The sequence below is a fragment of the Homo sapiens genome, chromosome 1 (genome assembly GCF_000001405.40).
Source record: "Homo sapiens chromosome 1, GRCh38.p14 Primary Assembly".
NCBI classification, from domain to species: domain Eukaryota; kingdom Metazoa; phylum Chordata; class Mammalia; order Primates; family Hominidae; genus Homo; species Homo sapiens.
The window spans coordinates 196,279,901-196,307,043 of NC_000001.11; the positions used below are offsets into that span (position 1 = coordinate 196,279,901).

The window sequence follows — 27,143 nt, forward strand, 5'->3', positions numbered from 1 at the left end:
TAGGGATTTATTAATTTTGTCACTAGGTGGTTTAATGATCATAGAAATTACTGAAATGTATGTGTCTGATCTGAGCCTCAAAGTTGAGGTAATTTTGTATCAGACCAAAAAAAATGGCTGACCAAAATTTCTTTTTAATTTGTAATAACTTTGAAGTGTCTGAAGAAAAAAAAATTCAAGAATACAAACCATAATTTACATTAAATAATTTTATAGATATTGATAGAATGATGAATTCATCCAAAATCTTTATTTCAAAAAAGAGTCTGACCTAAAAGGTGATATTACACTAAGGCTATAAAAATTACTTAGAACAACATGAACCACATGAAGTGATCAAATCAAAATGCAAATATGTTTCGGGTGCATGAACTTACCAGAGATTCTCCTTCCATACTAACAAGATCAAGTTTGCTGTTAAATTTACTGAGGTTTACTTTGGGAAGATCTGACACTACTCTTATACTCAGAGTTTTCTTTTGGCTTTAGAGTGGTCACCAATCTAGAGATTGAGAAATGTGAATTTTAACACTTACTAAATTATCTTTGCTTTGCTTCCTTCAAAATGCTAATATATGCAGTAGGGGTATACATTAGAAATCTAGGTTGCTTGCCCTGAGAACTTTTCTTATGTGTCAGAACCTCAAGGTTATTTGTAATTAATTTGCTTCCTGATAATCTTCCAAAACAGCTAATCCTAGATCTACAAAAGTCATCTAAAGCCCAACATCCATAAACTTAGAACAGCCCCTTAGCCAACAATATTTTTTGGAAGACTGACATAGTTTAGTAAAACAAATAGTTGAAAAAAAATTTGGTTCTGAGATTTAACACTACGTATTCAGGTAGCATTCTTTTTCACTTTCTCTTGCATTTTTTATAAATCAGTTTATAAGCTTATGAATGATTGCACTCATCAGATTAAACATCAAAACAAGAATATTTTGTTATTTCCAAACCTCAGATGTAGTAAGTTTCTGAGACTCAGTCCTGTAGATTCCAATGGGAACATCTCCAGTAGAAGAACACAACTTCTGATAAAGTCTGGCATAAGTTCTGATCCATAAGTCATCTGCAGTGATTTTCATCTATAACACACACAAATTATTTACATATTAAATGTGTCAGAAATAAAAACCTAGTGGTAACTTTACATTTCTTTATTTGCTTATTTTTGTGGGGGGCAGGGTCTCACTCTGTCACCCAGGCTACAGTGCAACGGTGCAACCATGGCTCACTGCAGACTCAACCGACATCCCTGGCTGAAGCATTTTTCACTTCTTAAAGGGAGAAATTATTAGTATTTGGAAATCTCCAAGTAATATTTCATGCTTATCCATGTATTAAATTTATTTATTATGCATCACCAAACTTAAGAAATCCGAGTACTCAATTTAGGGCAGTATGACATTATATTAGTTCGTTATCAGTAGGCAATAGAGCACTGGTAATTGACTGGGAAATGTAAAGCATATGGAAACTATTTTGCATGCTGCAATAACTGGAGGCTGACACTGGTATTTAATGTACAGGGTATGCTGATGTTACCAAATGCGAAGTGCAAAAGACACTCTAGCACCATACTGACTTGTTCCACCCAATGTTCCAATAATGCCTATATTGAGAAAGATGAATAGTAGAATAAGCATCGTGATACCAGACAGGAAACAAAAATTGTAGTGCCCCTTTGCTTCTTGTAAATCTGAACTGTTACCAAATCATTTCATTCAGCATACTTGGACAAAGTATACTTATCTATAAAACAAAGGAGTTAAAAAGCATGATCACCGTTTTTGTGGACAGTATAGTATCCTACGGCAGTTTCAAATTGCCAGTTAACAAAAAAAAATTCATTCAACATTTTTTTTTTTTTTGAGATGGAGTCTTACTCTGTTGCCCAGGCTGGAGTGCAGTGGCGCGATCTCGGCTCACTGCAAGCTCTGCCCCCTGGGTTCACGCCATTCTCAGCCTCCCGAGTAGCTGGGACTACAGGGGCCCGCCACCACACCCAGCTAATTTTTTGTATTTTTAGTGGAGACGGGGTTTCACTGTGTTAGCCAGGATGGTCTCTAACTCCTGACCTCATGATCCACCCGCCTCAGCCTCCCAAAGTGCTAGGATTACAGGTGTGAGCCTCCACGCCTGGCCAAATTCATTCAGCATTTTACACAAAATGGCTATTTATTATGATTATTAAGTAAAAATAATATGTTTTCCTTGAAATTTTTAAAGGAATTTTAAAAACTCAAATGCATCTGGATTCACAATACAAAAAATAACACATGACATAGAAGAATTAGCAAAGTACACGGTAGATAGATTTCAGAACCTTCTATCACAACTATCTTTTATTCTAGAGATTATTAACTTACAGAACAAAGAAACCCAGATCCTGGTGTAGTGTCCAGTCCCAACAGAAGTCTCGTGATAGAAATCATATAATCCTTCACAAATGACTGCAATATAAACAAACAAACAATATATAAATGTATATTTATATATAATGTGTATGAGATGTGTAGAACAGCTAAAAGTGTGAACATCTGACTTCTAAAAGATTATTTCTCATATCACATTTTTAACCCTCCATACAAAAGTAAATTTAATCTATCTTGTTAGTATCCTAGATAAACATGTACAGTTAAGCTGTTCATAAGGAAACACAGGAAATAATTTTTGTCTAGAAATATCTAACTATGCTTACATTTTATGTGTGTTATTAGGCATGATAAAAAATTTTTAGAATTTTTAAAGCAAAAACCCCAAATGAAATGATGACTATCATAAAAACTTGAAACAATTAAAACAAATTTTCAATGAAAAATTTCAGTCTTTTTTTAGTATTAAGCTCTAAGCTAGTGAAGTAAATTTCTAAACTATATTTATCATTTATTATTGCATATTCTTTTTCCACAACACTTCATGATAAAATAGGGCCTTCTATTTATTTATTTATTTATTTGAGACAGAGTCTTGCTGTGTCATCCAGGCTGGAGTGCAGTGGCATGATAGCGGCTCACTGCAGCCTCCGCCTCCCGGGTTCAAGTGATTCTCCTTCCTCAGCCTCCCAAGTAGCTGAGATGACAGGCATGCGCCATGGCGCCTGGCTAATTTTTGTATTTTTAGTAAAGACAGGGTTTCCCATGTTGGCCATGCTGGTCTAGAACTCCTGGCCTCAAGTGATCGCCTGCCTTGGCCACCCCAAAATACTGGGATTACTGGCATAAGCCAACACACCAGGCCTAAAATTGAACCTTTAAAAAATTAAGGAGGTGGCTCATGCCTGTAATCCCAGCACTCTGGGAGGCCCAGCACTCCTGGGAGGTCCCAGGAGATCGAGACCAGCATGGCTAACACGGTGAAACCTTGTCTCCACTAAAAATACAGAAAATTAGCTGGGCGTGGTGGCGGGCACCTGTAGTCCCAGCTACTTGGGAGGCTGAGAATGGCGTGAACCCCGGGGGGCAGAGCTTGCAGTGAGCCAAGACCACGCCACTGCACTCCAGCCTGGGCAACAGAGCAAGACTCCATCTCAAAACAACAAACAAACAAAAAATAAATAAAATGAAATAAATAAATAAATAGATAAATAGAATCATTGCATTTCCCTGGGGTGACAGTGCATCTCTTATATTATTGGAAAGGTTGAAAGCTAGAATAGTCTTTACAGACACAGACCATTTTGTTAGTAAGCAATTAAAGAAAATGTGACTGAAAATAATTCCCAATCATTCAAGAACCATTGACAGTAGATCAAAAGTCCCACTGAAGAGAAATTATGCTCTGGATTTTACTAATTCAGAAGTCCTCTACTTAAGTGTTTTTTAAAAAAGCCACAAAATAGTTATGAATTAATGCCAGCAATTTTTTAAAATGAAATAGAGTATATTCAGTAAGATAGAAAATAGTACAGCAAATTATGAGCAGAAAGGGTAAGTGTTGTTAATATTTTGTTTCAGTTATATATACATACACATCTACACACACACAAATGCAGGTATGTATTGAAATGCAAAATATGTTTACTGTGTCAAAATTTAAGACTTTAGGCTGAGCACAGTGGCTCACACCTGTAATCTCAGCACTTTGGGAGGCCAAGGTTGGCCGATCACCTGAGGTCAGGGGTTCGAGACCAGCCTGACCAACATGGTGAAACCTCGTCTGTATTAAAAATACAAAAATTAGCCAGATGTAATGGTGCACACCTGTAATCTCAGCTATTTGGGAGCCTGAGGCAGGAGAATTGCATGAACCTGGGAGCTAGAGGTTGCAGTGAGCCGAGATCGCACCACCGCCCTCTAGACTGGGCGACAGAGCAAGACTCTGTCTTAAAAAAAAAAAAAAAAAAATATATATATATATATATATATATATATATAGTTCTAGTTCACTCTTTCTTCCGAAGTTTCAGAAAATCATGCAATTTCCTGTATCTCTATTTATAACATAAACGTGAGGCAAAAACAAAGAGAAAGAAAAAACTACTGCTTTCCATTTCTATAGAACAGTTTTTAGAACAGTTTTTCTTCTATTTAACTTATACATGAGATTTCCTTACAAGATTTTATTTAAACAGAGGATACTGTGGCTAAAAAAATCTTAAAACTACTGGTGCATAATGGTACCCAAGCATTTGGCTCCTATTGATATAAAATCTTCAGTTTCAACACTGCTCTTCAAATAAACCATCCCCTGCAATTTAATCTCTTTAAGAGATCAGAAGTATGTGTGTTTGGTAACAGTGTTTGGAGTGGGAGCCCTGCCTCCTGTAGTACCCAGATAATATGTCTGGAAACTTTAGGGATAATAGGGGTATTTATTCTACTTTGTTGTGTTTGCTCCAGCTCTCATCTGACATAAGCAGATGGTTCCTGACGTTGCTAGAGGCATAATCATGGGCAAAATTAGCCCAAAGTTCTGCAGAAAAGCTTTAACTTTCTTTGGATTAGTTTGTTCAGTCAAGCAATTATAGAAGACAGTACATAAATAAGCAAAAAGAATAGGTACAATAAAATGCTGAAATGCTTAATTTGAGATTAATGTTATCAAATAATTTAAAACTCTACGAATATTTCTTTCTTCTTAATGGAAATATTTAGAGATTGTCTGATTACTTGAATCAGAAAAAATGAGATATTACTGCTATTCAGTTTCTGGCAGAGACAAAAACGATGATATTAGTGTGAACAAACACCTCCACAAACCTCTTAGCTATGATAAAATGAAAAAGTTAACTTGGCATTCAGGAACAAACTCAGTGGTTTTAGTTGTTGTAGTCTTTTCATATTTTTCTAAAATAGGCAATAATCAGCAGATTCTTAAAATGTCCTTAGTTTATCAGTTTATTGACATCAATTTGGTATTTTATTTCAAACCTGGAAAAAATGTATACTATAAGGAATGCTGTTTTTATTAAGTTGGTAATTTTTTTTTACCTTTTTAAATCCAGTAATATGCTTGGAGTAACATGCAAAATGTACTAAAATGTATTAAATATATTAAACACTGCAGGGCACTGGTACAAAAGAATGCCTGAAATAATTTCCATAGGTTATTTTTAAAAATAGTATTTTTCTTACAAAATGTTTCATAGGAGCATTTATGTCATTAAGTACATGAAATAAAATACTGAATTACTTTTGGAGCCAATTTTAAGTTAGTAGCTGCATGTGAAACACTAGATGTATTATTCATTTAAATAAAATCTAAAACAGAAAACAACCATTTTAGAGAAAATAAAAAGAAATATTGTATACCTGATACAGCAGAGTGTCCAACATACTGATGCTAAACACCCTCCCAGCAGCAAAAGGCAGTCGAAACATAAAGGCCAAGTTAGAGCCTCTCTCCCGTTCTTTCTGTTCAGAAATTTGAGATAGAAAAATTTGTGAGCATTCCACATTTTATGCATTTCTGCCTCAGTAAATTGTGTTGACATACGTAAAAAGTTCTCATCATATGGTTCTTAGCTATAAATGTGTCATTACTTCACTGATAATCATATTTTTTAAACTGCCCTTTCGTTTTGCTAACCACATTTTCTCAGTTAAAACACCCAATAGTGAAGAAAGATCAACATTTTTTGTACATTAAGCATGTATTTACTCTTCATACAAGAAGAGACATCATAATGGAAACAAATAAAAATCATTGAAAAAAATGTGAAAAAAAAACTAACGTCACACGATGTACCATAACACTGAACACTGTAAAGAAGACCTGCTTTTAAATATTCTCATGGGTGAGAACAAAAAAATAGGGAGGTAGGCACCTGTTATGGTCTGAATGTTTGTGTCCCCTCAAAATTCATACATTGAAATCCTAATCCCCAAGGTAATAGTATTAGGAAGTGAAGCCTTTGGGAGGTGATTAGTTCATGGAGGTGGAACCCTCATGAATGCAATTGCCTTTTTAAAAAAGAGAAACTCTTTGCCCCTTCTACCATGTACCATCTATGAACTAGGAAATGGGCCCTCACCAGACACCAAATCTCCCAGCACCTTGAATGTGGAATTCCCAGCCTTCAGACAGTGAGAAATTAATATCTGGTGTCTATAAGCCACCCAGTCTACAGTACTTTGTTCTAGTAGCCCTAACAGACTAAAACAGGCTTTGTACATCCAGTAGTCTCTAGCTGTCCATCATCTTAGTTTCATTTCTCCACCTAACTGATAAATTGCATCTGGTATATCAGTTTGCAACTAATCTTCTGTATATCACACACACACACACACACATACACACACACACACACACACACACACGTTGTTTATGTATGTTTGAATGCTTACGAGTTGGGGGGTGATATGGTGTATGAGGGTTTCTTTTTAAAAATTCTGTTGCAATTTTTTTTTCCTTTAATAAATGAAGGTAAGAGAGCAAATGTCAAATTTGTTTAAGTTTAGAAGAGTTTCTTGAGAATGTAAGTTAAGCTTCTATTTAACAAATGGTAACCTCAAAAATTCTAGTTTCTTTTGTTGACAAATTCCCTTTACTAGGAAGACTGATACAGCTGAAAATAAGAAATCAGAATAAGATACAGAAAATAAGAAATCAACCTTCACTTCTTGAGGCAACAGAAGCAAGCTCCTGTTTCTAATGTAATAAATGTGTGGGTTCTCGTGGAAGGGAAGCCTCCCATCTCACGTGTATCTATAGTGTCTGTCTAGTTGAGATGACTATCACTATAAGAGCGTCTTCACTTGAGATACAGGGAGAAGGTAAGGCAAAGGATAGGAAAGCGGTTCCACATTTTTGTCTATGTCTATGAAATCCTAATATATTCTCTAATTTATAAACCTAGGTGTGAAGAGTGCTTAACTTGAACAGCTCATGTGAGTGGCTTGCAGATGACTGGAGTTAGCTGTTCTTATTGTGATACAGCTAGGTTTTCCCGTGAATTTGAGGACAAACCTAGTTCTCGAGGTGTAACAAGTATCCTGGAGAAGACCAAGCCATGATATGTTAGACCCAAATTAAAGGGAGTAGCCAGAATAAAGTGCTGGAACGCCTGAGAATTTGATGTTACATTTACTCTTCAAAACAAACAAACAAACAAACAAACAAACAAACAAACATTCCTTGGTTCAATTACATTACCATTTCACACACTATATTTTTCAAATACAGAACAGTTTTTTAACCTACAGTGCTTATTCCTATAGGAAATGAACTCTTCCCATCTCCACACATCTGAATCCTATTGATACCACCTTAAACAGCAACGCTAATTAAAATTAATTCCATTCACTATTAAAGTCCCCAAACACCAATGTATTCATTTGTGCATTAAAGTAGTCACTTAATAAATATGCGTTGAGAACGTACTTTGTGTAGGGCATCAATCATCCTCAGTGCTAGGAATACAGAGCTCCTATATAGAACTAACAGTATCTTATCAGTTAATAGAAGTATTATGTGTTGAATATGGGCCAGGAGCTAGTTAAACAAACAGGGATATTTTCCTTGTCTGCAAGAACTTACACTGCTGTGAATGGTAACAATAGCAAAATAGGCAAAAACACTTGGGTGAATATATGTAATAATTAGGCAGTAATACATACTTAGGAAGGGCACCTAGCTTATTCTTTTAGTAGAAAAGCCAGAGAGCTGAATTAGAGGTGATGTCTAAGTTGAGACCTAAAATTGAGTAGAAATTTGGGAAGAGTGAGTGTTAAGTTGAAAGCTATAAGCAGAATGTCCAGCATGTTCTCTAGTGGAAGTAAAAAAAAATAAATAAATAAAAAATAAAAAAATAAAACGCTTGAGAGACTTCAGGAACTACAAACAATCCAATAGCATAGAGTTTAAGTATATGGGTTGAATGGAGAGGTCAGAAATGAGACTAGAGCAATAAGTTTGGACTAGGTCTTAAAGTACCAAGATATGTTTTAAGGTAATGGGGATGCAGTTAAGAATTACACTGAAAAATAATGATATAAGTTGAGATTGTCTAAGAAATAACAGGACATATGGTTACCCTACTTTGAAACCATGTTAAGTATTTTGAATTTCATCTTACAGGCAATGGGGAAAAACTAAAGTGTTTTTAAGAGGAGGAGTGATACGATTATGTTTTTAGGATGCTCACTTTGATGACAATGTGGAAAATGGCTTGTGAATGAGGAGGTGGCATGGGAAAATTGAGCAAGATAAACTATAGTGTTAATGCAGCAATCCTAGTGAAAGACGAATGTACATTCTACTGTGGTATTTGCAGAAACAGATCTTATTCAGAATGCATTTAGACATTCAATTTTAAGAGGATATGATGATTGAATTTGGTACTAAAGTAGAGAGAAGATGAGGATGATACACAGGTCTCTAGATAATGAGGCAGATGATTGCACCTTCTGTAAAATAGAAAGTGTGGAGGAAGATCAGATCACAAGTTGATTTGGACTTGGGTTTTGATGCCAGTGGACAGGTCCACCTGCCAAAAATATGGATCATACAGGCAATACAACATACAATGGTTTGGAGCTTGGATTCTGAAACCACATACAATAGTTTCAGTCAAGTGTTTCCGCTTACTAATTGTATGATCTTTTACAAGTTACTTAAGCTCTCTGTTCCTCAGTTTTATAACTGTGAATTGGGATTCATATTGACATCTACATCCCACTGTGATTACAAAAAATAAACATAATAAAACCTCTAAAATTACTGTATATAGTAAGTACTTAAAAAGATATTTTTATTATCAGTTGTTTGAATATGCTAAATTATATATTACCTCAAGAACTTTGTATTTTTTTATCCTTCCTATAATGCTACTTCCCAGGCTTTTACTGGACTAGGCTGGTGTTATCATTGCAGCTAAAATATTACCTCCCCAAAGAGGTATTTCCTTATCACCTTACTTAAAACCTGTCTTTCTGCAGTTACTCTTGAATATAACCTGTTAAAACTTTCATAGCTTTTTTGAAACCTATTACACCTTGTTTATGTTTTTAATTTATTAATAATCTATCTCAGCTAGATCCTATGTTCCAAGAGGGCAGAGACCATGATTTTGCTTTCTGTTACTTACACAATGCCTAACACAATGCCTGGCACACAGTCAGTGACATTTGATTGGAAAAATAAATAAATTTTTTCTACTTATGTTAGCGGCCTACATCAAAAGACAATTTATTGCATAGTTTAATGCTTAGAACATTCATATGCCAGAAACAAGAAACAAACGTTCGAGGTTCACTCAATACCTCTATTTTGTCACTTTGGTTATTTAACAGAGGTTTGAGAATGTGAAGAATTGTAATGTCACAATATGCAAAGCTTTTTTACTTTACTATGTCTAGTTATTGGGTTTTACAATAAATGTTTCTGCTATTGTTGCTAGTATAAACATACACTATGATTCCTTTTTGTTAAATTTATCATATTTCTTTTCTAGTAGAATTCTGAATTCAATTGAAGTTTTACTGATGATATTTTTTTCCTAACAAATACTTATATAAGTATCTAAAAGAATACCAATGACATTTAAATCATTAAAGATTTCAGACACTTTTAAATGTTTGGTCTTACCTACTTTTCCATTTGTTTTATTATCATGAACATGTGCCTTTCTTGGAAGAAGGAATGTGTTTCTGGCAGAAATTTTGTTTCCTTTAATCTGTGTCCATCAATACCATATGGAATGAGATGATAAAATTATTGGATTTAACAGAACAGTGTGGGAGGTAAAAAAAAAAATCAAGAATTTTATTGGCACAAATTACTGGTTTCTATCCCCTATTTTCTCAACTATAATTCTTTTACATTCCTTCATTCTTTCCTCTGGACCCAATCATAATGTAATTCCTAAATCTAGTGGTTTTTGTCAGCATTCATCCTACTTGAACTTTCTTACAGTGTTTGACAAACTACATTCTAATTCTGGAGCTCTGTCTTTTCACATCACTCTATCTCAGCTTCCAGAATACTCTTGGACCCCTTGCTCATTTTCTCTGATTTGTCTTCTTTCTAGACTCTCCTTTATGAACCTCAGGATAAAGTCCTTAGTTAAACTCATCTTCCTTGTGGTTCTTTTTAACCTTCCTTATGGCTCTCTAAGCCTTACATTTCTTAAGGCTTTACAATTATACATTTATGTGCACAACCTTCAAGTATATCTATGCATATACATATATATGTGTGTGTGTGTGTATATGTATAGGTGTATATATATATATACACACACACACACATATATTTCATCCTGTTCCTGAGCTTCATTTATATATCACCACTTATTTTTTTACTTATGTACTATAATTTTAATATACTTAAATAAATGTATCATTTATCTCACTAAGGTCAGTTATTTCCCAGAATTCTCTCTTTGTTTTTAATCAATATATTCACCCTAACAGTCCTAGACCAGGTCTTTATTATCTCATGCCTGATTTATTGAAATAACTTACTAACTCTTTCCCTTTTCCCCATAATGTCTCTTTTCAGATAAATACAGAAATTTCACATCAATTTCATAAAAGTACAAGTCTGACGATGCCACCTCCCCCATGTCCTCATTTAAAAACTTGCCATGACTCCCCATTCACTGCATCAAAAACTCCAAAGACTCAGCATTCAGGGCATTCTAAGGTCTAGCTCCCAAACTGCTTTCCAGGATGACTTTTCAGTACTTCCCAGCAGACTATTAGTAAGTCAGATGATTGACTATTTAGCTAAATACTGAAAATTTCTTCCTCATATTTGGGTTCCAACTCACTGTGGGTAACAATTTCATATAAGAGATTTCAAAACAATCTCTGCAGGTCAAAACTCTGTTTCAAAACCATCTCTGCAGGTCCTCCTCATCCTTCAAAATACGTATCATGCTACCCACTCTATGAAATCCTTTCGTACAAGCACAGTGATGCTGCCCTTCTGCTTGTGTGAATCACTCTGCATGTATGATTTCCTGTCTTTTTGTTATTAACTTTCCTTACAGAGAGGAAAAAAAGATTTTTATGACACTATTTTCAAAACCTATTGACTTTAAAGTTATGTAAAAAGTAAGATTCCAAGCATCTGATTCCATCCTGATAAAAATACATTACACAATTACTTTCTCTTTTAATTCTGGACAATGAAGAATTTGGATTAATTTTATGAATTGCACTTTATCATGCTGAATTTACATATGAGAAATAAAAATTAGGGATGATTAATACTTAGTATTTCCTATCCAGTTAGATTTTTGTGACACTATCATTAACCTACCTCTCTGTGTCTCAAGAAAACAACATATGGCTAGAAGTTACAAACTGGCAGTAATTAGTCCAAATCTGAACTACAGAGGAGTTTCATTTGGGCTGCCTAAATTTATTGAAGTTTAATAAGTTCCATCATTTAACATTTAATATAAAAATCTGCACTTCCGACTTATTTTAAATTTGGAGAACCAGATATCATAGGTCATGGTAGCAACTGGCCAGAATTTTTCACTTCACTAATTTACATTCCTTACTTCCATTAAAAGGCTCTTATTTTACACTTCGGAAGATAAAATATTTAGAAATTAGTCTAGGGATCTACTAACTCAAATTCTGCTTAAAAGTAACTTGGGTGAATAGTAATTATATCAGAAAATAACATAGTAAGTAATCTAAATATATATTTTAAATGTGTCTTAAAAAATAGAACATTTCTAATTGACTACAAAATATTCCATGGCTTAGGAGACAATTCTAAGCAATACAACTAAGAAATATTTCTCAATTTACTTTTACGAATCAGGCACTGACCTAGGTTCTTAGCATACAAAAATAATTAACAAAACTTTCCAGTTCTACAGGGATATATACTTTTACTGAGGACACACTTAAAAATCAAATATTGCAAGGTCATGTATAAAAAGCATTTGACAAAATTCAACATCCTTTTATGATGGAAAACTCTCAACAAATAAGGCATAGAAGAAATGTACCTCAACATAATATACGCCATGTATAAAAACTCCACAGCTAACATTACACTCAATGGTAGAAAGTTAAAAGCTATTCCTTCTAAGATCAGGGGCAAAGTCAACGTTGCCCATTCAAACAACTTCTGTTCAACACAGTATTCGAAGTTCTGGCCAGAGCAATCAGACAAGAAAAAGAAGTAAAAGGCATCTAAATAGAAAAAGGAAGTGGCCGGGCGCAGTGGCTCACGCCTGTAATCCCAGCACTTTGGGAGGCCGAGGCGGGCGGATCACAAGGTCAGGAGATCGAGACCATCCTGGCTAACGCGGTGAAACCCCGTCTCTACTGAAAATACAAAAAAATTAGCCGGGCGCCTTGGCGGGCGCCTGTGGTCCCAGCTACTCGGGAGGCTGAGGCAGGAGAATGGCGTGAACCCGGGAGGCGGGGCGGAACTTGAAGCGAGTGGAGATTGCGCCACTGCACTCCAGCCTGGGCGACAGAGTGAGACTCTGTCTCAAAAAAAAAAAAAAAAAAAAAAAGGAAGAAGTTAAATTGTCTCTGTTTGCAGATGCCATGAACTTACAGTATATTGAAACCTTAACTACTCCACCAAAAAGCTGTTAGAAGTGATAAACAAATTCAGCAAAATCAACACATAAAAGTCAACAGTGTTTCTTTACCCTAAAAACAAACTACCTGAAAAAATAATTAAAACCAGTCCCATTCACAATAGCATAAAAAAAAAATACTTAAGAATAAATGTAATCAAAGAGGTAAAAGATCTTTATACTGTAAATTATGAAACACCAATAAAAGAAACTGTAGATGACACAAATAAATCTAAAGCGTTATTGTGGTCATAAACTGGAAGAAACAATATTGTTAAAATATCCATACTATTCAAAGTGATCTTCAGATTTACTGCAATCCTGATTGAAATATCAATGTCATTTTTCACAGAATTTTGATAAAACAGTCCTAAAATTTGTATAGAATCACAAAAGACCTCAAACAGCCAAAGCAATCTTAAGAGAAAAAAACAAAACAAAACAAAACAAAAGAAAAAACAAATCTGGAGACATCACAGTATCTGACTTCAAAATCTATTACAAAGCTATAGTAATCTAGATAGAATGGTACTGGCATAAAAGCAGACAGGAAGATTGACCAATAGAACAGGATAAAGAGCCCAGCAATAAACCCATGAATTAATGGCCTATTGATTTTTTTAACAAAGGTGCCAGGCCACACCATGGAGAAAAGATCATCTCTTCACTAAACTGTGCTGGGAAAACTGGATATCTGCAAGCAAAGGCATGAAATTGGACCTTATCTCATGCTATATGCAAAAATTTGGACCTTATCTCATGCTATATGCAAAAATCAACTCAAAGACTTAAATGTAAGGCCAGAAATTGTCAAACTATTAGAAGAAAACATAAAGGAAGTATTCCACAACATTGCTCTGGGCAATAATTTATTGTCTAGGAACCCAAAAGCACAAGCAACAAGAACATAAACAAACAAATGGGATTATAACAAACTAAAAGGCTTCTGCACAGTCAAAAAAAAAAAAAACAAAAAAACAAAAAACAAAACAATTAATGGAACGAACAGACATCCTATAGATTAGGAGAAAATATTGGCAAATAATACATTTGATAGGGGGCTCATATCCAAAATATATAAGGACTCAAACAACTCAACAGCAATAAAACACATAACTGAGTCACAAAAAAGACAATGGACCTACAGAAACACCTCTCAAAAGAACATATATAACCGGCCAACACGTATAGGAAAAGCTGATCAACATCACTGATCATCAGGGAAATGCAAATTAAAGCTACAATAAGATATCACCTCATACCTGTTAGAATGGCTACTATCAAAAAGACAAAATAAGTGTTAGCCAGAGGAGTGGAGCAAAGAGAACCCTTTGCACTGTTGGTGGGAATGTAAATTAAGGCAGCCATTATGTTTTGTTTTTTTGTTTTTTGAGACTGAATCTCGCTCTGTCGCCAGGCTAGAGTGCAGTGGTGCGATCTCAGCTCATTGCAACCTCCAACTCCCTGGTTCAAGCGATTCTCCTGTCTCAGCCTCCCGAGTAGTTGGGATTACAGACACGCGCCACCATACCCAGTTAATTTTTGTATTTTTAGTAGAGACAGGGTTTCACCATGTTGGCCAGGATGATCTCAATCTGCTGACCTCATGATCCACCCGCCTTGGCCTCTCAAAGTGCTGGGATTACAGGCATGAGCCACTGCGCCCGGCCAAGACAGCCATTATGAAAAACAGTATGGAGTTTCCTCAGAAAACTAAAAATAGGCATGCAATAAGTAATCTCACTTCTGGGTATATATTCAAATAAACTGAAAAAGTATGTTGAAGAGATGTCTTGCATGCCTATGTTCATGGCAGCCTTATTCATAATAGCCAAGATATGGAAGCAACCTAGGTGTCCATCATCAGATTAACGGATAAAGAAAATATGATATATATATATATATACATAATGGAATACTATTTTGCCTAAAAAAAAATTATGTCATTAAAATTGAATTCATAGTAGAGAGTACAATGATGGTTACCAGAGACTGGTGGAAGGGCATAAGGGGATGTTGATCAAAAGAGTGCAACGTTTCAGTTAAGAGGAAAAAGCTTAGTGATCTATTGCAAAAAAAAAATGCTAACTTCAATAAATAATAATGTATTGTATATTTCAGAATTGCTTGAAGAGTTGATTTTAAATCTTTTCACTACAAAAGTAATAAGTATGTGAGGTCCTGGATTTGTTAATTAGTCTGATCTAATCATAACACATTGTAAATATATATATGTGTATATATGTATATATGTGTATATATATAAATGTCACACTGTACCCAATTAATAATTTGTCAATTAAAAATAAAAATATAGAATAAAAGAATAAAACATTTGTACTTTTTAAAATGATAATTTGGAGAAGTTAAAACCAGTGTTCTTTCTTGTGCTTTTATAAACTATAAAATAAGCTATTTGTACCTATAATACTTAAAAACACAAATAAAGGTAAGTTCTGTATGACTTATTATTGTTCAAAAATTGTAACTCTTAAGTTACAACTATAATTCTAAAAATAACAAAAACAGGCAAAGTCAACATTAATATTCATGATAAGGTAAAGTCTGAAAACCAAAAAAAAAAACATTGTAAAATGCAAGGAAAGAGATGGAGAATTCGAACCACTCAAAATGTCTACAGAAACATTTGGCAATCCCCATTGGGTGAAATTTTTGAACAGAAAAGGTTAGAAAATAGTCTTCATATAAGAATTAAGGAGGATATTCCACTCCTTTTAACTACAGTATAAGTGTAAAAACTAGGTTTTGAGTAAGGCAAAAAAATTTAAAAATAATATTTTTATTGAGCATACAAACCATCATTCAAGATATTAGTTTTAAGTTAGGAAGTCTTATTTTTATTGAGCATAAAAATCATCATTCAAGAGATTAGTTTTAAGTTAGGAAGGCTATAAATTTAAAGATAATATTTAAATATCTGAGTCCTTAGAAGATAAACAAAGGATGCATAAATTTTTTGTGTAAGTTTTATGACATGGAGGGTTGTCAATGTAAATTATATCATGGTTTTGAAAGATTAACAGGAGTGCATATGAATGACTCATTGCTGAGTCTAGACTACTTTGTTGTTTTGATACACCAAAACTGCTCCATATGTTACACTTCTAAAATACTGCTTAAATCAGTTATAATCACATGAGCATATGATGAATTGCATTCAATAATGGGTCCCACAGATCAAAATCACTTTCAAAATAAAGAATGAAATTCTATATAAATATACTATTATCTGTTTGATGTATTAAAGATAAACTGTCCTAAGTTTAGTTTTATGATTTGATGACAGTTTGAAGCCCCAAGAATTAAGTTGAAAAATATTACATAAATAAATAAGAAAATATGATAGTTATAGAAATTACAAAAAATGAAATAGTCAAAGAAGCCAAAGAACATACTTTTTTCAAAAAGAGTTAACAGTAATTTAAATGCATCCATATTCAATTAATCTGATACAGTTTGATTATAACAATGAATATATTACAAATATGAATAAGTATACGGAGACTATAATTTTAGATTCCTAATATATTACTGGAAGGAATTTGGAAGGACTTTAAATACAAATGATACAAATTCTACATCTTGTGGAGAAATTTATGCACTGAAAATAGTAAACTAATTATTTGAACATTTTCTGAGCCTGTATCCAATTAGTTCAAGCTAAATATAATGACAGCATTCAGCACAGAATCTCTCAAGTAATTCCTCTACAGGTTATAGCAACAAGAAAGATACTTAAAATAAACTCACAAATAAGTGTCCATTTTCCCAATATAATAAATCAGGTACTCTGTTGGCTTTAATGTTTTGAAATGTTTTTTTATTTGACTTGGGCTGTGAAGTCAAGGGTTCCTATTTCAGTTCTCTCTGCCTTGAAATGGAAGGCTGAATAAATGTACTGTACTCTCTTTGACTCTGAATTCAAAAATGAGTAGTGCCTTGCAGACTAGCAAAACAGAATCAAATAGTGATGGACATACTTATTAATGTAGAGGAAGAAATAATAAGCAAGAAAAAAATCATTGGTTTCATGTCCTTGTCTAATGTGATATTCATTTTAACATTTCAAAAAGAAAGCACACCCAAAAGTAACCTTTGTCATCCTAGATGATACTTTCTTTTTTGTGACTTATAAGCATTTTTATTTCTTTCATTTATTGAGAAGTGAAATAAATTATGCAATCTCTCTCTCTTTCTCTCTCTTTCTGTAGATGTGTGTGTGTGTGTGTGCATATGTTTATGAAAAGACAATTGTTGGACTTCCTAAGAATAATAAATAGTTAACTACTGTATTATAAATTATTTATTTTCATAAAATGATTAACTTCATAAAATTACCACATTCTAATAATTTAATTTTATTAACTTAGTTACATAAATTCATTACTTTTCTGCATTTAATATTTTGATTTTAATGGTTTTAACAATTTGCTATACATTTTCCTCTTCACAATAGACACATATGCAGCAGCTGTGTGGCACTCTTCCATGGGGAGCTAATTACACTGAATTTGAAGTGAATGTATGCACTGCATTGTCTTAGTAGCATAATGTGAAGACTTTGGGCTCATTATGTACAATCACAATCCTATAAATATTATTAATAGACAAATTTATACATTAAGATTGTTATCCATATAAATTGTATTTATAACTTTTCTAGAATAGATTGAACAATGTTTTTCCTCATTTAAAGAAATAGAAACTCATTAGCCTTCTTTTCAAATTATTTTTGGATGAATATAGAGACAAGGTAAATATTTTCTTAAAAACAGGATAAGAATCTTTCTTAATGAATCAAACTCAGTGTTGGCAGGTAGCACCAAACTCCCACTCAGCTGTTCCAGAACCTAGATTATGAATAAAATGTAGCTTAAGTTGTCTGGACAGAAAAAATTAGTAGGACAATGTGCTTTTGTTTGTTTTCATATATCTGTGTCACCCATCATATTATAAATTCTATGTGGTTTATTCAATGTTGTAATGCCTAGAATTCAGCAAGGCATTTGGCTCGTAGTATGTGCTCAGTAAATATTTATTCACTTGAGTTTAAATTGAGAATGTGTAAATTTTGCCTTCTTACTATTCTATAGTGAAAATATATTGAAAAAATGACATTTTTACCATATTTCTCCCAGAAGATATCTCCAATCACTGGTAGAAATTCTTATCGTTTTGTTCTACCACTGACTATAAAAGTAATATATAACTTATAGACATGACTGTTTGCATTCTGACATAAATTCTGTTGCATCAAGCGTGCATCCTACAATTAAGTGCAATTGTGACACTACCTGGAGTTGGCAAAGACTCCACAAGTTAAGGGGCTCAGTCCCAGAAGACTGCACCCAATTTAAACACCAGCCATAAGTCCTAGGTACCCTCAAGCCAACTGTATTCCTGCCCAGCCAGCTACAAATTTGGGGCTTCCCATAAACCCTCAGATTCAATAATTAGCTAAAATAACTCACAGAACAACAAAAGCACTATGCATATGATTACAATGTTATTATGAAGAATATAAATGAACAGTAGATGAAAAAGCATGTGGAGGAAAGTCTTAAAGGGTCTCCCAATCACAGGAACTTCCGTGACTGTGATGTTGGGGTGCCCCATTCTCTCAGGACGTCAACATGTTCGCCAACCGGGAAGCAATCCAAGCCTTATTTTTCAGTTTTTATTGAGGCTTCATTATGCAGGTAAGATTAATTAAATCATTAGCCACGTGATGAAACCCAGGCCCCAGCCCCTCTGCCCTCCTTGGAGTTGAGGGTAAAGGCTAAAAGTGTCAACCTTTTAATCAGAGCTTCCTTTTTCTGCTGCCCACACCAGCTTATAGAGGTGCCCCTCCATAAGTCCCTTTGTTACCATAGCATCTAGTATGGTTGGAAAGTATGAATAACAAAAGACACTCCTATCACACAGAAAATTACAAGGAGTATTGAAGTTCTGAGCCAGAAACCAGGGACAAAGACCAAGTATTTATTTTTATTATACCAGCTAGTTATCTCAGATTTTCATTATTTTGCTTCTTACATCAGGTGTAATTATCACATGATTGTATATTGTGATTATGACCATCATTTGGGAATGGTGATCATTCAAAAGCAATTTTAAAGAAAGCAGTCTTGAAGCAAATTGTGCACAGATACACACATTAATAAAAGGCTTTGTGAAATACATCAAAGCAAGAGAAAAGAAATAAGCCTTTGGAGGAAAATGAGACAAAAATTTCCCTTTTTTTTCTATTGTTGTTTTCTTTTCCATTTCTTTTCCTCCTTGCCTTCTCCATCTCTATTTAGCTCTTCTACTGTTGCCTGTTACACCTGTTACACCTACTTTGTTGGGAGAAGGTGTCAATGACATTCAAACATGAAAAGTATCGCTGACAAAACTGTAGTGGTGATGTAAATATCCAAGACAAGGATAACGTAAAAAAAAAATCAGCAAAAAAAAGTGGGCAAACAATAAAAGAAAGGTCAGATGAAAAGGAAAATGGGCACAAATGCTGTTACCAAGATGGCAGAATAGAAGGTAACCTGCTCATTTCTCCCCAAAACAACAAAATGCTCAACATTACTAATCATAACGGAAATGTAAATCAAGGCCACAATGAGACATCATCTCACCCCAGTTAGAATGCCTATTATCAAAGTATCAAAAAGACAAAAAATAACAAATGCTAGCAAGGATGCAGAGAAACGGGAACGCTTATAACTGTTGGTTATAAGAATGCAGAGTAGTACAGCAATTATGGACAACAAAATGAAGATTCTTCAAAAAACTAATAGAACTGCCACATGATCCAGTAATCTCACTGCTAGGTATACATCCAAAGGAAAGAAAATTAGTATTTCAAAGAGGTATCTGCACTTTCATGTTTATAACAGCATCATTTAGAATGGCCAAGATATGGAATTAACCTAAGTGTTCATCAATAGATGACTGGCTAAAGAAAATGTGATATGTATACACAACGGAATATTATGGATCTGTAAAAATAATGAAATCGTGTTATTTGCAGCAACATGGATGGTTTCTCTTAACATAACAGTCATTATGTTAAGAAAAATAAGCCAGGCACAGAAAGGCAAATATAGTCTGAAAAACCTTTAGTCTTTGTAAGCTTTAATAAGCATAAAAATCTTCAAACTTTCTCAAACTTGTATAGGCATGTAGCAGGCTACAAAAATTACACAGGCTGCAAGGAGTGTATATTTCTGAAGTTACATAGGTAATGATGGCTTGAGAAGAAGCTTGAGTGGAAAGACAGGGGCTACAGAAGACAGTGGAAAAGGGAGCTCCTCAAGATGGCAAGGAATAGTCAATGAACTTCACAATATTTTTCATATTGTTGTTATGAACTAGTTATCCTTCCGTGTTTTTAGCTCTTTTGATTTCTCATTGAAGGACAGTGTTGTGGTGATGGGATTCAGGACATGCTACTCCAAAATATGTCAGCTTGACATGTGAGAAAATAGCAGCAGCAGGATGGACTCTAACCTTCTCTCACCCCTTCTTCCCTGAAGCAGGCCATAAAATTTAGCTGACCTTCCACTGAAATTAGGTCATAAGATCCTCATTCCAGAGGGCTCCCCCTCTACTCAGAGGAGGGCAATGTCCTCATATCTGAAGACAAAGAGATGCCAAGAAGATCTGAAAAATAGGCCTTGCTAAGTCACCTCCCTAATTTATTACCATGATACCCCCTTTGTCCAATAATAATTCTGTACAGCTGTCCATGCCTAGGCATACAAATACACAGATTCCCTGTTTCTTTGAGTCTTTATTTCTGAAGACATTTGTCACATAAGATTTATGTTCAATACATTTGTTATATTTTTCTCTTGTTAATCTGTCTTTTGTTACAGGGACCTCTGCCATGAACCTTGCAATGGGTGAGAAATTTTTTCTCCCCTATTGGAGCTCAGAAACTAATACCCCAAAATATAGTGCCTTGACATGCTGAACAGAATAAGAAGCCTCTCAAGATCCCTCTGACTCCCCACCGTCCTACAACCTCCTGTCAGTCCTCTCTCTCCCAAAGCACAGGATGAAGTTGTTCTCTGAAGTTCCCTTATTGGCCTAAAGTCTGGACCTGCCAAAGAAGAAAACAATTACTCTGGTCTCTTCTTTGAGTTTTCATTAACTAAGCTCACATCACAGGAAGCAAGACTGAAGTCTGTCAACACACCTGAACAGACTTTTGTCACAAACCATTGTCTGCTCTGTGGGCCCAACCGATTTTGTCCCAGGCCATATTATATGTTCCTCAAGTCTATTGAATTTCCCTGAAGATCATTTACTATGTGTCCCCCCAAAATCATTCATACCTCCCGTCTCCCTTTCCTCTAGAAAGAAAGTATATAACCATGTGTACCCCATTGCATGGTGGGGCAATCACTTGGTGATTCTCTCGCATGCACACTAATAAATTTGCATGCCATTTCTGCTATTAATCTGCCTTTTGTGAGTTTCAGCAAACCTCTGGAGGGCAAAGGGAAAATTTTATCCTTACCCCTATATCCCCTACAGTAGATATTCTTCACTAAGTAGCTACTTTCAGAAAATCTTTACAGAGTATTACTTCTGATACCAGTGGAAACCATATATTAATATTTATTAGAATGCAAGGTCTACAAGGAAAACATCAAAGCTTAATCGTCACAAAAGTAAAGTAATTGGGAATAATACAGTTTAACATTCCACACCTATCCCTATAAATCCTACTTCTTAAACATGAATGAAGACCACTTAGTAGCAAAATAAAAGTGTGAAAGTGTGTAAGCAGCCAAGCTGGTGTTTATTTCTGATTTATTTATTTATTTATTTAGAGACATAGTCTCTCTCTGTCGCCCAGGCTGGAGTGCAATGGCACAATCTTGGCTCACTACACCTTCCACCTCCTGGATTCAAGCGATTCTCATGCCTTAGCCTCCTGAGTAGCTGGGACTACAGGTGCACACCACCAGGCCTGGCTGATTTTTGTATTATTAGTAGAGACAGGGTTTTACCATGTTGGCCACGCTGGTCTCGAACTCCTGACTTCACGTGATCCACCTGCCTCAACCTCCCAAAGTGCTGGGATTACAGGTGTGAACCACCACGCCCAGCTGTGATTTAAAATCTTAATTGTATTTCTAAAGGTGAAGGTCTCACCTGTGAAGGTGCAAGGGCATCTACTTATAGATAGATGGAAACAATATTCATAATTGTTTGGAAGAATAAAAATCCATGTAACCCTCAGCCAACAGTAACTATAGAAAATGCTACTGATTATTTAAATATTGGAAATAGAGATCAGTTTTCTAATCCTAAAAATCTCCTTGCACCCAGAATACAAATATGGAAAGATAATTAAATACTGTGTTAGCTGTCATACCAGTAAATATTACTGATTAAAAAAAAACCTTGATTGGAAGATTTACCATATCATTCATGGAACATTATTTGATAGGGCTGCCATAACAAAGTAATATCGACTGGGTGTTTTAAACAATATAGATTTATTGCCTTACAGTCATGGAGGCAAGAAGTCTGAAATAAAGATGTTGTCAAGATTGGTTCCTTCTGAGGACTGTAAATGAAAGATCTGTTCCAGGCCTTTCTCCTTGGCTTATGGAAGACTATCTTCTGTTTCCCTTCACATTGCCTTCCTTTAATGTGTGTCTGTCTGTATATCTAAATTCACCCTTTTAATAAAAATGTCAGTGAGCCATAAATTAGAACCCACACTATGGTCTCCTTTGAAGTTGACTGCCTCTCTCTAAAGACCACATCTGTAAGAGTTAGGACCCCAGCACAACTTTTTTTTTTTTGGATGGGGCATGAGATTCAACCCACGAGACTATAAAAGACTAAAAAGTTTCTACATTTTTAAATTTTTAAGTTTCTGAAATTAACTTTAACATAATATGGTAACAAGTGGATCAAAGAATTTTCCACAGCTTTATAACATTCAAACTATTTATTTTAATCCCACTTCCTCCAGCCTTCCTATCCCTGAATAATTTGGAAATATGTTGATGTATTGAGTTTCTTTTTTCTTCATGGGAAAAATCTAAAAGACATAAGGACAAATGCAAATCTTAAAAAAAAAAAAAATACCCTGATGACAAAAGTCCCTTCCCTTTTCCTTGGAGCATTTTCTTTAGAAAACTTGTAATTGTAAATCCTTTCTCTGTCAAAAACTTGTAACTGGAAATCCTTTCTCTGTCCCTGAGATGGATGCAAATCTCTGAAAAGCTGAATAAACCTCTAGCCAGTTTTGCATTCCAGGAATGTTTTTCTTGTGGGCCTTGGGGTATCTTTTTGAAATGTGAACATCAAGGAGGAAGGCAACTTGTGTCTCTCTCTTTGGGAGTTTAGCCTAGATACCTGGTATTAAATTGTGCCTTCTTGCCTGCTGCAAAAATATTAAGTTTTATTTTTCCTTTGGATAAAGAGATATATGTAATTGACTGGCATATATACCTCATATTTTTCTTCTTTTTCCCTAATGCAATAAGCACACAAGCATGTCAATACAAATGCTCACAAATACTGAAATTACCTTCCACAATTATGACCTTGCTACGTCAACTGACTCGTCAACAACTAGAATGCACAGAATGAAATATTTATTAGTGACAATATCAACAAATATAAAATGTATCGTTATGCTTTTAGTACCATTTATTTGAGTACTAATTATATGTCAAATGCAGGGCTAAGTGTTTTGCATAGATTATGTGCTGTAATCTTTATAATGACCCTACTATTTAAAATAGCTCCTACCACTATTTTCCACATAAGAATCCCAAGGCTACGAAATAATTTATCCAGTTTCCATTTCTCAAAAGCAGTGGTGAATTGGACCAATCTGACTACAGATCCTGGCTTCTTCATCACAAGTGATTCTACCTCACTTCCCATGAAGGAGGCTGTACTACTACATCATGCCAGCACGGATTCCTGCTGGTTTTCTGATTATTTGGTTTGCTTTCAAGTCTGAGTCAATTTAGCCCTGCTTGCCATCTTTTTTTATGTTGCTAAAGCAACGTGGCATAGTGGAAATTTTCTGTCCTGAATATTAATAGCCTTACATATGCCTTGCTGAATTGAACTGGTAGCTGTATAATCTTGGGAGAGGTATCTATCTAGTCTCAAACTCAGTTTCCACATCTGGAAGCAGGGCACAACAACAATTTCCCTGTGGCCATAAAAAAGCAGGGTAAGGCTCTATAAACATCACGTGTGTGACTAGCTTTGGATAAATCAATAGATGAGGGTACAGACACAACCTTACTCAACAATATGTTTCCCAGGAATTAGGACAGCATCTGGTCTGTCATAATTGGTAATTAAAAGAAATAACTAACCAAAAAATATAAGGCATCATTTTCTCTACCTCTTATATTGTTATAAGAAATGAAAACAGCCTAGATTTAACTATTTATTTATTTTTAGAAATGGGATCTCACTATGCCACCCAGGCTGGAGTGCACTGCCATGATCATAGCTCACTGCAGCGTCGAAATTTTGGGCTCAAGGAATCCTCCTGTCTCAGCTTCCCAGGTCACTCTGATTATAGGCACGAGCCGCCACACCCAGGTTAACACATTTTACATGTATAAGACTGGGTCTTTTTTTTCCTTTCACATCTAATTCTCTCAGTACACTACTATTTAGTAGTAAGTAAAAGCTGAGTGCAAAAACCATCTACACCCACACTCAGCCTGTATACTGAAAATGGAAACCAAATCTTTCTGACCATATAACATTACTTTGCAATTCCATTGTCTCTATTAGCATTATCCGGATCTCTTCCCAATCCCAGTCAAGTCCCTGTTTTGAAATATCATCATTAAATTAAATTCCAGTTCTCAGTATATTTTGACCTTGTTTTCCTCCCTCTGAGACCTTGCCAAACTTCTACTGGGGAGGTAGTCTCCCCTACCTAGGTAAGCAATAAACTTAGCTTTATGTCAGGTTGTATTGGTGACATCTGGGAAGCCAGCATTTTCATGACATAGCAAGTAAGTGAGTATACACATTTCTGTTGCATTTAATTCTTTCACAAATCATGTGTTTAATACTTAATAATAATAGAACAAAATATCTCCATCATATTTACCTGTGATATAAATCGTTCAAATCTGTCAATTCACATTTTTAAAAAAATTATCAATTAGAATTTCATCTCCCAAATAAAAATTCAAAACAGCATTTTAGTTTTACTATCTCATGGCATTTTTTTTATATATTTACAGAGTTAATTTCTGAATAAAGATGGTTAAATCTAATTTACTTGATAATGTGGGGTCTTACCTTTTCCAGTTTTGAAAGAGCAAGAGAGTAACAGTCTTTGGCTCTGAATTGCATGAATCTCATGTTGGCGGGGTGAGTTAGCTCTGTGATAATACTGAGACTGGAAAACAACCTACATTTCAAAAGAACATTTGCATTACACTAACAATCCAATATGGTATTTTTTATAACAACATATTTATGAGTGAGTGATTCCTAGCCTTGGGCATAAAACTATATCCAATTACAACAGCAGGCAGTGCCACATAAAATCTTCTATACAATGCAGGAAAAATGAAACACTATTTCCCGAAGAATATTTTAACAGACATTTTAGCACAATAAGAAAAATAAATTCAGTAATTTGGCTTTTTTTAGACATTTTCTCTTTACAATTATGGAACAACATAGAAGAAACTCATAAAGCTGATTTAAGAAGTTACAAGGTTACTTTGTGGATGGTATTGAAACAGAAATCTATAAAGATAAATAAGCTGATTGGCAAAAATTTCACATAATGAGCTTCTTGTCTACTATGTGAGCTCTTTCATGTCCTATGGCTCCTTATTCTCATAGTGGGCAATTTTTAAATGTCAAATCTTGCTACAACAAACTTCTGAGATGAGGAAATAATTTATGTAAAACTTCATTGTAATTAATTGGGGCCAAGGCTAAAGCATTGATAGTGTTCCCCAAAAGTATCCTGAAATTTTTTTTCACAGGTCCCATGGCTTCATATTAGCTTTCTTCCCATTTGACACTCTCTCAAATATATACCAAAATGAGCACACATACGTACACGCTCACACAAGATTTCTTTCCCCCAGAGAAAAGGGGCAGGATGATACCACAATAAATACTTTTTATTTTTGCTGTTGTTCATGATCTGATCCTTACCTGATATCTATGCATCCCTGGTAGCTTTCCTTGTTAAATATTTTGGTATTCTCTGTGGCAGCCACTTCTGTGATAATCACCTTTGTTTTTCATATGATATGTCTTTAAACTAAGTTATGACCACTTAAAATTCCCATCACTAGGTTGAACTCATCCCTTGAACTCAGGGACTAAAACTGACTGCAAATATGCAGAATATAAACAGCCTGTTTGTGTGGCTCAGGAACAAATCAGCTCCTTCTGCTCTCAATTTATGAATTTATGAATTTATGCTCATTCAGTCATGAGGGTGCTGTTACTTCCATGTGCCCGAGTGCTTGATGTGGTACATGCTTCTTTTAAGATGGGAGCCCTGTCCTTGAGCTCCAGCATTACAGACGAGTTTTTACCTTTCCTCAGGTCCAACTCTGGAAGGTTGATGGATGATTTGCCAGGAATGCTCCCTCCTGCTGGGGAGAGTGTGCCCACCCTACTGCTCTGCAGCAAGCAGGGCCTTTCTTAGCCTTCAGACCAGGCTTCTCTGATTATCTGCCTCTCAGGTGTGTTTACATTGGGCTTTAGTCACCATTCAGGTTAAGACACTAACACATTCTTAAGAAGAGTTTTGGTTTTTTTTTGTTTGCTTGCTTTTTTTTTTTTAGAGTTGTCTGTAAAACCTAACACGCCCTCTTGGCCATTAGCACAAATGGACTAACATTGGGCCTTACCTAATCAAGGCCTTTGAGAGCTAGGATATCATTGGGTATTTTGTGAAATCTTTTAATAAAATTCACAAATTATAAGTATATACGTATTTTTCTAGGGGTAATAAATTGTGGCTGACTAAACAATCCTAGTTCTTAATCTTCGTTTTGGTAATAAATACTACTGTAGTTATTGATTCAGGTAAATTGTAGTAATTGTTATTAAAATAATATCAGGAAAACAACAACCA

The 27,143-nt window shown here is 34.9% G+C and overlaps 1 protein-coding gene across 12 annotated transcripts in view; it reads right to left on the reverse strand.

Moving 5' to 3' along the window:
• The window catches only part of KCNT2 (potassium sodium-activated channel subfamily T member 2), a 382,662-nt gene that overhangs the window by 54,122 nt on the left and 301,397 nt on the right, over nucleotides 1-27,143 (reverse strand). For 10 of the 12 annotated variants that reach the window (NR_146057.2, NR_146058.2, NM_001287820.3 and 7 more), the window contains 4 exons: nucleotides 25,334-25,445; nucleotides 5,757-5,858; nucleotides 2,373-2,456; nucleotides 960-1,088 (listed from right to left, as the gene is read on the reverse strand). Coding sequence is in view for 9 of the 12 variants with exons in the window: in NM_001287820.3 (NP_001274749.1) it covers nucleotides 960-1,088; nucleotides 2,373-2,456; nucleotides 5,757-5,858; nucleotides 25,334-25,445 (427 nt within the window). In the remaining 3 variants the exon portion in view is untranslated. The other 2 variants (XR_001737149.3, XM_017001179.3) reach the window with 2 other exon arrangements.